The 16,147-nt window shown below is 46.9% G+C and overlaps 1 long non-coding RNA gene, 1 other non-coding gene and 2 pseudogenes across 2 annotated transcripts in view, besides 1 other annotated feature; 1 reads left to right on the forward strand and 3 right to left on the reverse strand.

The window, feature by feature from the left end:
• The window catches only part of LOC107985327 (uncharacterized), an 84,260-nt gene that overhangs the window by 6,195 nt on the left and 61,918 nt on the right, over positions 1–16,147 (reverse strand). Inside the window, exon 3 of the long non-coding RNA XR_007067309.1 lies at positions 1,433–1,558. This is a non-coding gene — a long non-coding RNA (uncharacterized LOC107985327). The remainder of the gene's footprint in view (positions 1–1,432; positions 1,559–16,147) is intronic.
• On the reverse strand, positions 1,018–2,453 carry LOC100133225 (zDHHC palmitoyltransferase 7 pseudogene; annotated as a pseudogene).
• Positions 1,700–1,849: an enhancer, noted in NCBI's record as "active region_15010". NCBI's record gives its function as "activates an Ori minimal core promoter by ATAC-STARR-seq in GM12878 lymphoblastoid cells {active_cell/tissue: GM12878}" and the evidence as "EXISTENCE:reporter gene assay evidence [ECO:0000049][PMID:35858748]".
• On the forward strand, positions 5,754–6,219 carry SIGLEC21P (sialic acid binding Ig like lectin 21, pseudogene; annotated as a pseudogene).
• Positions 13,827–13,907, reverse strand: MIR8074 (microRNA 8074). The gene has a single exon (NR_107041.1). It is a non-coding gene; the product is annotated as a microRNA 8074 (primary transcript).

The raw sequence follows: 16,147 nt of genomic DNA on the forward strand, positions 1-16,147 counted from the left end.
CAACAAAGGACCACACAGGAACGGCTGTTCACTGGATCAAGATGTTCTGCAATATGCAGTGTATTCATAGTAACCCATGGGGAGGACCCTGAGGCAGCTCTCCCTCTTCCCTGAAACGGTTTCTTAAAAAGTAGCTTGTTTGGCCGGGCGCGGTGGCTCGTGTTTGTAATCCCAGCACTTTGGGAGGCTGAGGCGGGCGGATCACGAGTTCAGGAGTTTGAGACCAGCCTGGCCAACATGGTGAAACCCTGTCTCTACTAAAAATATAAAAATTAGCTGGGCATGGTGGCGCATGCCTGTAATCCCAGCTACTCAGGAGGCTGAGGCAGGAGAATCGCTTGAATCCAGGAGGCGGAGGTTGCAGTGAGCCGAGATCCTGCCACTGCACTCCAGCCTGGGCAACAGAGCGAGACTCTGTCTCAAAAAAAAAAAAAAAGAAAAAAGAAAAAGGCCGGGCGTGGTGGCTTATGCCTGTAATCCCAGCACTTTGGGAGGTCAAGGCGGGCAGATCACAAGGTCAAGAGATCGAGACTATCCTGGCCAACATGCTGAAACCCCATCTCTACTAAAAATACAAAAATTAGCTGGGCATGGTGGCGCATGCCTGTAATCCCAGCTACTCAGGAGGCTGAGGCAGAAGAATCGCTTGAACCCGGGAGGCGGAGGTTGCAGTGAGCCGAGATCATGCCATTGCACTCCAGCCTGGGCGAAAGAGCAAGCTCTGTCTCAAAAAAAAAAAAAAATGCAAAGTATTCTTAAAAATCCTAATTCTGCAGGAAAGTTAATGACGTTTGGCTTCAATACGTGGCCATGCACCTTTCCTTAGCTGTACAGGTGAGAACTGGAAAATCTGCAATCTGTGACTGTACATATATCACACTCTGCCTGCTGTAAGCAATTGGTTTGTGTAGGTTCCATTTGCCCTGTTGGTCCCAGGTGAGCTGTTCATTCCCTTCAGACCCCAAGTAAATAAGTGAAAGTCTGTTAGCAAGTTCCAGCCTGATGAGAGGGGCCTCACACTGAGAACCCCAGGCTTCCTTTCCAGGGCATTATCGGCAGTTGCCTATATCAGTAGCTGAAGAAGAGATTCATCCAAAGGAATAAGGGGACCCCGAAAAACAGACTTCACCCTTTCCCAATTGCAGCCTCTGCTCCCACCTGGGCTTCTCACTTTTCCATCTCTGGATCTCTGTCTTGTCTGTTGCCTATCGAGTGGATTCAATGGCCAAACAACTGCAGTGAAAGTGAAAACAGACAACCCTCAAGGTACAGGAAGATCAGCAGGATGACAATTATTGCAGGTAAGGATTCACTGCATTCAGTCCACTGTCCTCGGACACAGGAGATAAACTGAAATCCACAGAGAATCAGACCGTGGGCTGAAGACGGAACTGTCTACATAGGAAAGAGCACAGAAAACTCAGATTCTTACCTCCTGCACAACTGCTCACCCACAGGCTCTGGTGACCCGTTTTGCAAACACATCTTTTGCAAGTACAGAAGTGGTGGGCACGCTCTGGCTTTGTAGCTGGTGGGCCAGTTCAGGTTCTTGACTTCACTAGGCAAAAGAATTCGAGAGTGAGTCCAGTGTAAAAGTAAGCAAGACAGTTAATTGCAAAGTGAACGTGCACTCTGACAGCTGGTCAGAGCGGCTGCTCAAAGGTGAGACAGCACTGACTGACGCTGGGGAAACTTCCTTTAGGGGAATCTTCTGTGATTACTCATGCGTGGGTGGGACGGTGTTGCTCTTAAGCGTGTTCTGGGTGGTCTGTTAGGCCCGCATGCGCAATGGCTGTACATGCTAGTGCATATACATCGCTGTCTCAGCAGCACCTTAAGTCTCCACGTGAGGGTGTGTTTTCACTATTATAATGAGCATAGGTCAGCCCAAGGACACTAACTAAGCATGGGTTTCTGCACTTGCACGAATTTGGGGACTTTCCCTTCTGCCCTTCTACCCCCTTGCTGCAAGACGTTCTGACCATGAGCCCAGGATGTTCTCTCCATCTATTTAGCAAGTTTGTTTCCCTTTAAGAGAGGCTGTGACCCGCCTGTCTAACCTATCTCCTTTTGGTACAGCAGCACTTGGAGCAGGTGTAGATCACTTCTCGGGGCTGCAGCTGCACACTCTCCGTGTATTCTTTTGTAGCCTTTCCTTTGGGTATCGCCCTGGGGTCGGTGAGCGTGGTTCCCAGCTAGGACAACAGGCAAACGCCGCCAAGAGGTTAAGATGACCCCATTGACCACAGAGCACCAGAAGTCTTTGGAAGGCAGCAGCACAACAAACGTCACCACAAAGTCCTCACAGAAGACCAGAAGCCACGTCATGACAGCGCGGATCATGCCACAGCCGTTGCAATGACCCAGACCCCATTTGCCACATCAGCCTCAGAGAAAGAGGAGGATGACGAAGAGTCGTTATTGTCATTTTCAGTCAGGAGAGGAGGATGCTCGGCAGGCACCCAGAGACACCTGACCCTGGCCGTGCAAGAATTCTGAGGAGTGTGTATCAGGATCTAGCGCATAATGCTTGGGTACTTTAGCACCAAATGTGTAAGATACACTCAGAAATGATTTCTAAACATCACTTGAACACTTTGTGCCTTTTCTTCAGGATCTAAGGTGCATGCTGTCCTGTGTGATAGGATCTGAGGCCCAGGCGGGGTCGGCCGGCGCTGCAGCTCCTCCCTGCCTCCTGCAGTTGCCAAGGCTGGGATGCATCATGCAGCTGCACTCACGTCTGGGCCAGAGTGGGCCCGGGGCTCAACTCTGTCCCCTCCATGCCACTGGCCAGTTAGAGGGAGATGGCCACCAAGCAGACGCTGGAGCCCAGAGCGGCATGGCCCCCGGAAGTGTCACCCAATTTTTAAATTACTGGTCCTGTTTTAAGACCAGCTGCTTTCCCCCTCAACAGGGTACTCTTCCCTTGTACCATTAAATATTCCTCAGCAAGTCCAATTTCAATGGCTGCAGGGCATGCTGGTAAAATCCCAAACCCAAGTTCGTATAACCAGTGTCCTTGTTGGAGTTTTACATTATTCCTAAATTCACTATTAGGAGTATAAACTAAAGTTCTCTGAAAAGGATTTTGGAGGAAAGAGACTTTATTCCAGTGAACAGTTTGCAAACCAGAGAGACTCCAGTGTAAAATGAAGGGTGCGCTCCATAAAGCCAAGGGAAGTGTCAGGTTTAGCGTCCTGCCCAGGCTCCCAATCAGGTCTGTTTATGCAAATGAAGGATTGAAACTTTCTGAGTTCTCATTGGTGGACACAGCTGAGCTCTGATTGGTTGGCTCAGGTGATCTCTGAAAGTCCGGAAGATGAAAATGCTGTGGGTTTTCAGGGAAGTCAGAGTACGTGGGTGACCTGTACTTGGCTCTATTTTAAACTCAGGCTCAGTTAGCCACTCAGGATCCGTCTTGAAGGAGTGGCTCATTCAGGTTCACATTTGTTCACAGGAATAACACTGAGGGTTAGGATATTTGTAGTTTTTTATCCCTCACCCCCTTCCTCATTCTGAGTCTCCAATAATGTCCATTACACCACCCTGTTGCCTTTGCACACCCATAGCTGAGCTCCCACTTATAAGTCAGAACATGCAGTATTTGCTTTTTAATTCCTGAATTACTTCTACACAGGGGTGGACTTGTGTAGACAGGAGCCCACGGAGGGGGAGTCGAGGTGTGCACAGATTCGATGATGTGTTTCGTACTGAGAAATAACAGAGAGAGAGAAAGAGAGACAGAGAAGGGGAAAGGCAGCAAGAGCCACTCAGAAATGTTCAATTCACAGGGTATCTCAAGCAGTACTTGGAAATATATTTGCCTTTTGCTTTTATAAGAACACATACTATTTTATTTTGTTTTACTTTAAGTTCTGGAATACATGTGCTAAACGTGCAGGTTTGTTACATAGGTATACATGTGCCATGGTGCACCTATCAACCTGTCATTTAGGTTTTAAGCCCCGCATGCATTACATATTTGTCCTAATGCCCTCCCTCCCCTGTCCCCCATCCCCCTACAGGCCCCAGTGTGTGATGTTCCCCACCCTGTGTCCATGTGTTCTCATTGTTCAACTCCTACATATGAGTGAGAACAACACACACTATTTTATAATTGCAGAAGGGATACATTTGCTACAGAAAATTTGAAAAATCTTTAAAAAAAAATTATAAATAGGCCGGGCGCAGTGGCTCACGCCTGTAATCCCAGCTCTTTGGGAGGCCGAGGCAGGTGGATCAGGAGGTCAGGAGACTGAGACCATCCTGGCTAACACAGTGAAACCCTGTCTCTACTGAAAATATAAAAAATTAGCCAAGTGTGGTGGTGGGCACCTGTAGTCCCAGCTACTCGGGAGGCTGGGGCAGGAAAATGGCATGAACCCAGGAGGTGGAGGCTGCAGTGAGTGGAGATCAAGCCACTGCACTCCAGCGTGGGTGACAGAGCAAGACTCCATCTCAAAAAAAAAATTATTTTAAACGATTACTATGTATTTATGCCTGTATATATTTTACATTTTGAAATAGATAAATATTAAATATGTGAAATAAATATAAAATTATTTATTGGCCCAGCGCGGTGGCTCACACCTGTAATCCCAGCACTTTGGGAGGCCGAGGCAGGCGGATCACCTGAGGTCAGGACTTCAAGACCAGCCTGGCCAATATGGCAAAACCCCATCTCTACTAAAAATACAAAAATTAGCCGGGCATGGTGGCGCATGCCTGTAATCCCAGCTACTTGGGAGGCTGAGGCAGGAGAATTGCTTGAACCTGGGAGGCAGAGGTTGCAGTAAGTTAAGATCGTGCCATTGCGCTCCAGCCTGGGTGACAGAGTGAGACTGTCTCAAAAACAACAACAACAACAACAAAAACAAACACCCTAAAAGCCCAAGGATATCACCCCAGGCCACCTTGCACTGAATGGGAGCACTTAGGGAAGGGAAATTCTTTCCGCGCTGGCTCCAAGAACATCGTGTTCTCCGTTTGCTTTACATGAAAACATCTTGCATGGCTCTTATTTTGGATGCATTCCTGAAATTTCTTGTGTGCACATACTAGACGTCAAAAAAGGCTTCATAATCGTATTTTTTTAATATTTTTTTTTTTCAGAAGGAGTCTCGTTCTGTCATCAGGCTGGAGTGCAGTGGTGCGATCTCGGCTCACTGCAACCTCTGTCTCCCATGTTCAAGCGATTCTCCTACCTGTCTCCTGAGTAGCTGGGATTACAGGCACGTGCCACCATGCCCAGCTAATTTTTGTAGTTTTTAGTAGAGACGGGGTTTCACCATGTTAACCAGGCTGGTCTCAAACCCCTGACCTCAAGTGATCCACCCATCTCAGTCTCCCAGAGTGCTGGGATTACAGGCGTGAGCCACCGCACCTGGTCCTTAATCGTATTTTTTAATGCCCAATGTGCTGCTTGATGTTGTGATGTATACTCTGGGTTGTAGAGGAGAGAAGAGTTTCCCTGTACTCCCTGAGGGTTCGATAACTGACTCTAGGAAATAAACGGACAACAGGCAGATCAACAGGAGAAAAAGAATCAAGGGTCGTGGGGTCCTGGGCCTGGGGATTTCTGCAGCTTTCTGCGGAGGGATGAGCTCTGACTGTGTGAGGGTCTGAGGTTCCTCTTCCACGCAGGGCTGAGTCTCCTGCTCCTCCCCAGCCTCTGGGGGTCCTGCAGCCCTTCCCCTCCACTCCATTCCCCTTCTCTGCTCACACAGGGATCCCGGGAAGTCCCGCCTCAGCGATGCTGCTGCTGCCCCTGCTGTGGGCAGTGGGGAGAGGGGCCGGGGGAGCTGGACTTCACTGACCTTCATTCTCCACAGGGGACATGGTTCAGGAGGCAATATTCTGGCTGGAAGTGCCTGAGCCCATGCGTCTTTGTGCCCTGCTCCATCTTCTCCTCAAAAAACAGCTGCAATGATTCTACCGCAGCTGTGGTTACTGGTTCTGAGATGGGGCCCGTATATACCAGCACACTCCAGTGTCCACAAACAACCCAGATCACAACATTCAGGGGGAGACCCAGGGCCGATTCCACCTCAGTGGAGACCCCCGGACCAACACCTGCTCCCTGGACATCACAGAAGCACAGAGGCGGGGATGCAGGGACGCACTTGTACAGGGTGGAGAGAGGGCTTATGCAAGATATAATTACAGTGGGAACCAGCTCTCTGTGCACGTGGGGAATCAGGGCAAGAAAGAACACACTGGTATGTACTGAGGGCCCCCTGGGGCAAGGCTGGGCTGGTACCCCAGCTTCTCACCCTGAAAGGGACCCAGGGAGATGGGGCGCTGGGGAGGGTTTGGGGGAGTCCAGCTGCCTCAGGGAGAGGCTGCTCTTAGGTCCACACTTAGGGGTCCCCACCTGCAGGGCCTGGGTCTCTGTCTCTGTCATCTCCAGCCCTGATACAGACACTACATCCACATCCAGGGGACCCTAGAATCTGGACATTCCAGGAACATAACCTGTAAGAGGAAGACCTCCCCCCGCCCACTTTCTCTTGGATCAATGTGGTCCCCACCTCCCTGGGAAAGAATCCTCACTCCTTGGTGCTCACCTTACCCCAGGGTTGCACAGCTTCACCTGAGCCCTTCCCCAGAGCTGGTGCAACCACGGAGAGAGCCATCCCAATCAATCTGTCCTGAAAGCACCTGGCCAGGCCCCTGGGTCCTGGAGTTCACTGGGTTTTGGGAGAAGGGGGCGGAGAATCTGAGTTACTGGGGGACTCTTCTTGGGGACCTCTTCTTGGGGACCTCTTCTTGGGGGCCTGGCTGGGGTCAAAGTGGAGGGAACACTCAGACACCACCCCGTTGCTCAGGACTGCCCGTCACATGGCAGGTGGTCAGTTACTGATTTCTACTCCAGATGCTCCACGGAACCTCAGCATTTGCATCTCAGGGACGGCAGCACAGGTGGGAGATGCCCTCAGCTCTCTGAAGGGGGTGGGTCTCTGCCAGCCCTGGGCAGAATTGAGGTCTCAGGGGTCCAATAAGGGGAAGGTCATCGAGTGTGACCGACGCTGCCCCTCACTTTCAGCCCATCCAGTCTCGCTTCTGCCCCCTCCCCAGGCAGAGCTCTCCATGGTCACTGTGACTTCCTAGCTGACAACCCACTGTCACCACCGGCGTTTCCTCTCCCCCATCCTTCCCTCTCCCCTCACTCTCCCATGACAGCCTCCTCCCGGTTCCCTGCCACTTCTCTGGCCATGCCATCCCCGTCTCCCACAGGAACCTTATATCCAGCAGTTCCCACAGTGGGGTCTTGGCCTCCAGCCGCTCTCTGCATGACTCCTCCAGGAAGCTCCTCCACCCTAGTGGTCCCAGTCCTACCTCTGCCCTGAAGACCCCCATAAATCTCTGTCTGGTTCAGCTGGTGCTGAGCACATCCCACTCCCCCTTGGGAGGCCCCTCCCACCTGAGAAGCCAGAGTCAATGTCCTGGGAGTCTCTTTGCACATCCCTGTATTTCCCCAGTACTTCCCATGAGTTGGTGAGTTTTGCAAACTTGACTTCCGGAAACTGTCTCAACTCACTCCTTTCCTCCATCCCCACCTCTGGCCTCGCTCACCTGGACCCGGGTGATGCCTGGACCTGCAGCAGCCTCCCTCCTGGCCTAGCAGCTTCTGGTCTTGCTCCCTCCAGCCGACCACAATTCAGATCCCAAAAAGGGGTCTCTCTCTAACCAGATCTTTCCCTGTCCCTTCCCTACTCAGCTCCTCCCCTGGCTCCTGTGGCTCCTGGAGAAAGCCCAAGTGTGTCACCTGTCTTGGTTCCTCCAAGTGGCCAGAACCACGAGGGTTAGCGCCCTCCACAGTTTTGCACATCAAGGCCGGTCGTCCTGGGACGTTCTCTCCATGTCCCGATACGGCCAAGTCCTCCGCATGTTTCCATGCCCCTGTCCCGGGACCATTAAGGAGCCTCCCGACCCCTGCATGCTGGGGGTCTTCGCCCCTACTTGCCCTTGCTTGTGATGCTTGTCTCAGAAACGCAGTTTCCTCTCCTGAGTCTAGAGGGAAGACACAGGGAGAGAAGGGCCTCTCAGCCCTGCCCCTCTGGCTCTCTCGGTCTCCCTCGTCCCTCAGGTCCTAGGCAATGCCCACTCCTGGTAGGGGCAGGAGGGCAGTCCCTACACCTGGTCTGTGATGCTGATGGCAGCCCCCCTGCCAGGCTGTGCTGGTCCCAGGGCAGCCTGACCATGATCCCCTCCCAGCTCTTGCATCCCCAGGTCCTGGAGCTGCCCCAGGTGGTTTCAGGAGACGAAGGAGAATTCACCTGCCGGGCATAGGCCCTGCTGGGCTCCCACCCCATCTCCCTGAGCCTGGCTGTGCATGGGGAGTGTTAGCAGAACACCTGATTCTAGGGGTCCATAGGCAGGGGAAGTGTGGACTCAGGAAACTCCCACCTCAGTCACCCTCCAGCTTTTCTTATGCCTGGTACCACCTGTTACTCACCCCAAATCTCTGGAGACCAGTGAGGCTCCTGACCTCTGACCCTCACACTGCTAAAGGAGGCCCTAAGTGGGGGCAGGGGAGTGGGTAGCGGGGGATGGCTTTCTTTTAACTCACAGCCTCACCTGGATCTACTGCACCAGGGAAGCAACTCTTCTCAAGGTGTCCTGGAATTTGAGCCCCCAAATTTGGCTGACTTCACCCATCTTCTCCCCAAAGGAACCCTCCATAGTGCTGGTCTCTCCTCTCAGAATGGTGTTTACCCCACTGGCTCAGAGGATCCCAAGGGGCAGTGCTACTCTGGGTGACTGAGCGACTGAACTTCCTCCTCACAGCAGGGCTGAGGTCTGGGCTCCAGAGCCCGACAGGGGTGAGGGTCCTTTAGACCACGTGTTCTGAGACTCATCCTGCACAGGGCTGGAGCAAAGAGCTCCTGGGTGCTCCGGCCCCACCTCCCATGCAGAATAACCTCTCTCCACCCCTCACCTCTGTTCCCCATGACTCTTCCTTATGGCTCTACAGGAGCGGTTGTCAGGACAGGTGAGGAAATAGATGGATATGCTTTACCAGAATTTCAATTATTTTCCCTGTAATACCTTGTTTCTGTCGCTTACTTTAATGTGGGTTTCATGAGCTCCAAATTCATTCCCATAACGTATTTTTACAAATCCCATAATATGTTTATTTTACACAGTCAATTTTTAAAGAGACTTTTTATTAGAAAAATAAACTATTTTATGTTTATCCACATGTTTACCACTTCAATTGCTCTTCATTACTTTGTATACAACCGAGTTTCTCTATGGCATTATTTTCCTTTGGCCGGAAGATCTCGTGTATTTCTTACAGTATAGGTGTGCTGGCAGTGAATTCCCTTGACTGTGGTTTGTCTGGAAACATTTCATATACATTCACTTAAAAATACTTTTATTGAAATTTATATGGAATTCTAGGTTAACATTTTTCTTTCCAGTAACTCAAATGGTTTTGGCTTGTGTAATTTCCTATGAGAATTCTGCTGTAATTTTTATCATTGCTTGTTTGTTTGTAGTTTGTGGTTTTCTCTGACTGCTTTTATTATTTTATTTTATTTTATCTTATTTTATTTATTTATTTATTTATTTGAGATGGAATCTCGCTCTGTCACCCAAGCTGGAGTGCAGTGGCGCAATCTTGGCTCACTGCAACCTCTGCCTCCTGGTTTCAAGTGATTCTCCTGCCTCAACCTCCTGAGTAGCTGAGATTATGGGTGCATGCCACCATGACTGGCTAATTTGTGTATTTCTAGTAGAAACGGGGTTTCATCATGTTGGCCAGGGTGGACTCGAACTCCTGACCTTAAGTGATCCGCCCACCTTGACCTCCCAGAGTGCTGAGATTACATTTTTTTAAATTAATGCTAATCCTTCTCAAACTTTTCTGAAAAATAGAAGAGGAGAAAATATGCCCTAACCCATTCTATGAACACAGTATTACCTGATAATACCAAAGACATCACAGGAAAATGCAACTACAGCCCGATATCACTTATGAATATAGATGCAAAAAGTCCTCGAGAAAATGCCAGCAAACTGAATCCAGCAGTGTATAAAAGACTCTACAGAATACTGAGTGGGATTTATCCCAGGAATACAAAGGTGGTGTACATACGAAAACCTATTGATGTAATACAGTACATTAATAGAATGAAGAAAACAACATGGAATCATTTTCAATTGATGCAGGAAAAATATTTGGCAAAATCCAACACTCTTCCATGTTAAAACGATTAGCACACAAGGAATAGAAAAGAACTTCCTCAATGTGATAAAAGGCATTTGTGAAAAACCCAAAGGTAACATTATATTCAATGGCGAAAGACTGAAACTCTTTCCCTCTAAGATCAGGAAAGAGACAAAAAATGCCTACTTTAACCAGTTTTATTCGACATCGTACTGGAGGTTCTAGTTAGGGCAATTACACAGGAAAAAAAAAAGAGAAATAACTGGTATACAAGTTGGAAAGGATGAGTATTTCTTATATATAGAACATTGTAAGTATCCCACTAAACTCTCTTAAAGCTAATAAGCAAATTACCATATATGCCAGATACAAGATTATAACACAAAATACAGTTGTATTTCTATACGCTAGCAATTAACAATCTGAAAAGAATTAAGAACACCACCCCCATTTATAATACCATCAAAAGGAATAAAATATTTAGGAATACATTTACCCAAGGAGGTGTAAGTCTTGTGTACTGAAAAATAAAAAATATTGCTGAAAGAAAATAAAGAAGACCTGAATCAACTGAAAAACACCCTGTGTTCATGGATTGGTAGAATTAATATTAAGATGGTAATATTCCTCAAATCAAGATTCAGTGCAATCCCTATCAAAACCCTAATGGATGTTTTTACTGACATGAAAAAAAAACTATCCTTAAAATTCATATGGAATCACAAGAGACTTCAAATAGCCAAAATGATTTTGAAAGTGAAAACATTGTAGGACTCACATTTCCTGATTTTACAACTTACCACAAAGTCACAGGAATTAAACTGGGTAGGCACTTGGTTTCTCAAGCCGCCTGCTTGGCCCTCTTCCAAGTGTACTTTCCTTCCTTCCTTTCTTTCCTTTCCTTGCTTTCCTTACTCTTCTAAAGCTTTTAAATAAACTTTCGCTGCCATAAAATAAAATAAAAAACTAGGTGGTACCGATACTGATCAATGGAATAGAATTGAGAGCCAGATATAAAGTGATAAATTTATGGTCCACTGATAATTCAGTAAGGATACCAAGACCATTTAATGAAAAACGATAATGTCTTTAACAAATGGTTCTGGGGCAACTGGAGAGCCACGTGAATAAAAATGAAGTTGGACTCCTTCCACATAAAGTATGCAGTATAGGCCGAGCGCAGTGGCTCATACCTGTAATCCCAACACTTTGGGAGGCTGCGGCGGGTGGATCACTTGAGCTCAGGAATTTGTGACCAGGATGGGCAACACAGCAAAACCCTACCTCTAAAAAAATCACAAAAAATTAGCCAGGCATGGTGGCATGCACCAGTAGTCTCAGCTACTCAAGAGGCTGAGGTGGGAGGATCACTTGGGCCCAGGAGGTCAAGGCTGCAGTGAGCTGTGTTCATTCCACTGCACTCCAGCCTGGGTGACAAAGTGAGATCCTGTCCCCACCAGAAAAAGAAAAAAAGAAAATACACAGTATAGTAATTAACTCAAAAAGGACCAAAGACTGAGGTGTAAGAACTAAAATTATGAAACTCTTAGGAGAAAACATACAAGTATATCTTCATGGCCTTAGATTTGGAAGGTGTTTCTTAGATATGTCACCAAAAACACAAGCAACATGAGAAGAAATAGATGAATTGGACTTAAAATTTAAAATTCTTATGCATCGAAGGATATTATCAAGAAAGTAAAAAGAATGGGACCAAATATTTGCAAATAATATATCTAATGAGCCTAGTATCCCCAAAGAAGATTCGCTACTCAACCACAAAGAGACAAAAATCCCAACTTTAAAATGGACAAAGGTCATGAATAGACATTTATCCAAAGAAGGTATAGAAACGACCAACAAACACACAAAAAGATGCTCAACATTATTGTCACTATGGCAATGGAAAGCAAAACTCTACAACGATTAAGATGGCTGTAATTAGTAAAACGGAACATAACACGTGTCGGTGAGGATGTGGAGAAATTGGAATTCTCATACACTGTATTTGGGAATGTAAAAGGATTCAGCCGCTGTGGAAAAGAGTCTGCAAGTTCCTCAATAGGTTAAACATAGAGTTATTGATATGGTTTATCTATGTCCCTGTCCAAACTCATGTTAAATTGTAATCCCCAATGTTGGAGGTGGGGCCTGGTGGGAGGTGATTGGATCGTGGAGGTGGAATTTTCATAGTTCAGCACCATCTCCTTGGTGCTGTTAAGACAGTGAGTAAGTTCTCATGAGATCTGGTTGTTTAAAAGTGTGTAGCACCTCCTTCCTCACTCTCTTTCTCATGCTCCCGCCATGTGAGACTCCTCCCTCGTGCTTCACTTTATGCCATGATTGGAAACTTCCTGAGGCCTCCCCGGAAGCAGAAGTCGCCATGCTTCCCTTACAGCCTGCAGAACTGTGAGCCAATTAAACCTATTTTCCTCACAAATTACCTAGTCTCAGGTATTTCTTTATAGCAATGCAAGAACAGACTAATACAGTTATCATATTGACTAGCAATTTCACTCCTTGGGATATACCCAAAGGAATTGGAAACAGATATTCAAATGAAAATCTGTACATAAATTTTCATGGCAGCACTACTACTCACATGAGCCAAAAAGTACAAACAACTAAAATGCCCAGTAACTGACAAATGGATAAATGGAATGTGGTCTTTCCATGCAATGGGATATCACTCAGTCCAAAAAAAGAAATGAAATAATGATGCATGCTACAACAAGGATTATCCTCGTAAACATGGATTTACCTTGAAAACATTACCCTTGGTAAAAGAAGCCAGACATGGAAACTCATCAAGCTTAGTAGGCCATTTAGAGAAAACCCACAGGTAACATTACACTCAATGATGAAAGACTGAAATTATTCCATTCACATTAAATATCCAGCATAGATAAATCCATGGAAATAGGTACACGTTAGTAGTTTCCAGGGGCTCTGGGAAGCAGGCAATAGAAAGTGACTGTTTCCCTTTCAGGGTGATAAAAATGTTCAGAAACTAGATGGTGGTGATGATTACACAGCACTGTGAATGCAATAAATGCCACTGAATTTTATACTTTTTCTTTTTTTTGAGACAGAGTTTCACTCTGTCACCCAGGCTAGAGTAGAACGGTGCGATCTCAGCTCACTGCAACCTCCGCCTCCTGGATTCAAGCAATTCTCATGCCTCCATCTCCTGAGTAGCTGAGATTACAGGCACCCACCACTATGCCCAGCTAGTTTTTTGTATTTTTAGTAGAGATGGGGTTTCACCATGTTGCCCAGGCTGGTCTTGAACTCCTGAGCTCAGGCGATCCGTCTGCCTTGGCCTCCCGAAATGCTGGGATTACAGACGTGAGACACCGGGCCCAGCCTGAATGTTATACTTTAAATTAGCAAATGGAAGAAATTCTTTTCTGATTTTCAAATATTACTGAAATTTTAAAGAAACAGCAGAGATGCTCAGGGTGAAGCAAGTGCTTACTGTGTGAATCCATTTATAGGAAGTTGTAAAACATGTAAAACTAGTTGATGGTGACAAATGTCAGAACACTGGTTGCTTCTCAGACTGTATGTGGAGGCAGAGATTAATATGGAAGGGCATGAAGGATGCTGTTTTCTCTGGTCAAAGAATGACCCTTATCTTGAGAGGGTTTCAGTTGTGTGAGTACATGCCAGTCTCGCCATAGGACGTCTCTGGGCTCCCATGGGCATCTTGCATAAACTCAGGAACTGGGTTCTTCTATTCTCTGCTGCCTCCCACCACCCTACTCTCAGAAGATACCTTGATTCTGGCTTAAGAGGAAATAAACACAGTGTAGTGATAGAGACCCTTTCCTGACTATAAAACTATTCACCTCATTGCAGCTGCTACCATCCCTCCTTCAACTTGGTTGTTCCATCTTACCTTGAAAAGTGACTTATGGAACAACTTGTCCAAACGTCTCCACTTTAGAGGGACACCAGTTTCCTGTGTAATTATGTTGATTGCAATGAAATACTCCTAAGAGAGGGCTGACATTCCTGCTTCCAATCAGAAAATGAGGTCATTAGGCAAACGTCCAGCAGAGAGAGTAATTAGAAAAGATGAAAACATGCATTCCAATCTATTCTGTTCTTATTATGTTTTTTTTTTTTTTTTTGAGATGGAGTCTTACTCTGTCACCCAGTTGGAGTGCAGTGGCATGATCTTGGTCACAGCGATCTTCACCTCCCAGGTTCAAGCGATCCTCCTTGCCTCAGCCTCCTGAGTAGCTGGGACTACAGGCACCCACCATCACACCTGGCTAATTTTTGTATTTTTAGTAGAGATGGGGTTTCACCATGTTGGCCAGGCTGGCCTCGAACTCCTGACCTCAGGTGATCCACTTGCCTTGGCCCTTCAAAATGCTGGGATTACAGGCATGAGCCACTGCGCCCAGCCTATGTTCTTCTGGCTGGACTGGAGGACAGTAAGGAAACAGGGCAGGGCTGATGCTTTCCAAACACAGTGGGACATAGTCCTCAGGTCAGCAGCGAGCAGGGGATGGGAACCCACCTCATCTCACTAACCCTAGCTGCCATCAGTAGAACAAAAAGTCATTAATAAAATCCAAATCCTGGAACAGCTTCAAGGAAACAAATGTCAACATTGACCAAGTCAATAAACATGTCAGTGTCTTCTGGCCAGAGATCAGCAGGCACCAGGAATAGATATGTAGTTGGGTTATTACTCATTGCAGTGAGGAACCACGAAAACCATGAGGTGTTTCAGTAAGAGAGAATTATAACTGGCTTATTATAGGATTTGGACTTGTGTTAGGTGATTTGGGGAAACTTTTTAAAAAGCAGTGTTTGCTTCTTTGGATGTCAGGAAGTCAGCATAATTCTAACACTGGATCTTCATACATCTAATAAAAAAGGAGAAAGAACTAGACCAAAGCTACCTTAGTCAGTTTGGGCTAGAATAAGAGATATCACAGACCGGCTAGCTTAAAAAACAAACATCTAACTTTGGGAGGCCAAGGTGGGTGGATCACAAGGTCAGGAGATCGAGACCATCCTGGCTAACACGGTGAAACCCCGTCTCTATTAAAAATATAAAAAATTAGCCGGGCGTGGTGGCGGACTCCTGTAGTCCCAGCTACTCGGGAGGCTGAGGCAGGAGAATGGTGTGAACCCAGGAGGCGGAGCTTGCAGTGAGCCAAGATCGTGCCACTGCACTCCAGCCTGGGTGACAGAACAAGACTCTGTCTCAAAAAACAAACAAACAAACAAAAAACAAACATCTATTTCTCATAGTTCTGGAGGCTGGAAGACCAAAATAAAGATGTCAGTACAACTGGGTTCTTAGTGAGGTCCCCGCTCCTGGGTCACAGATGACTGCCTTCTCACTATATCCTCACATGGGAGAGAGAGAGCTCTGGTCCCTTCCTCATTCTTACAAGTGCCATAATCCCAGCATGGGCATTCCACTTCCATGAGCTCACCTAAATCCCATTATCTCCTAAAGGCCCCACCTCCAAATATCATCACATCACATTAAGAATTAGGACATCAATACATGAATTTTAGGGTGACACCAACATTTAGTCTATAGGAAAGGCTGTGGCTGTAATTGGTAAATAATCATCAGTCTTTCCTGTTACCCTAGATGGGAAATATGTAGCCATTTTCCAATTTGGACAACATTCTTGTTTGTGTCTGTGTTAAGGCATGACTGTGCTGTGGTCTTATTCTTGTCTTGATCCATTATGCTCAAAGAATGTCCTTGTCTGGTGTTGATGTCCTGTGCAGTGATTGACAACAGGACAGGAGAATTGCTTGAACACGGAGACAGAAGCTGCAGTGAGCTGAGATGGTGCCATGGCACTCCAGCCTGGGTGACAGAGCGAGACTTCATATATATAAATCACGCCACTGCACTCCAGCCTGGCAACAGAGCAAAACTCCATCTCAACAGCCACAACAACAACAAAAGTCTATAAAAAGACTTAC

Source organism: Homo sapiens, chromosome 19, assembly GCF_000001405.40.
Source record: "Homo sapiens chromosome 19, GRCh38.p14 Primary Assembly".
NCBI classification, from domain to species: domain Eukaryota; kingdom Metazoa; phylum Chordata; class Mammalia; order Primates; family Hominidae; genus Homo; species Homo sapiens.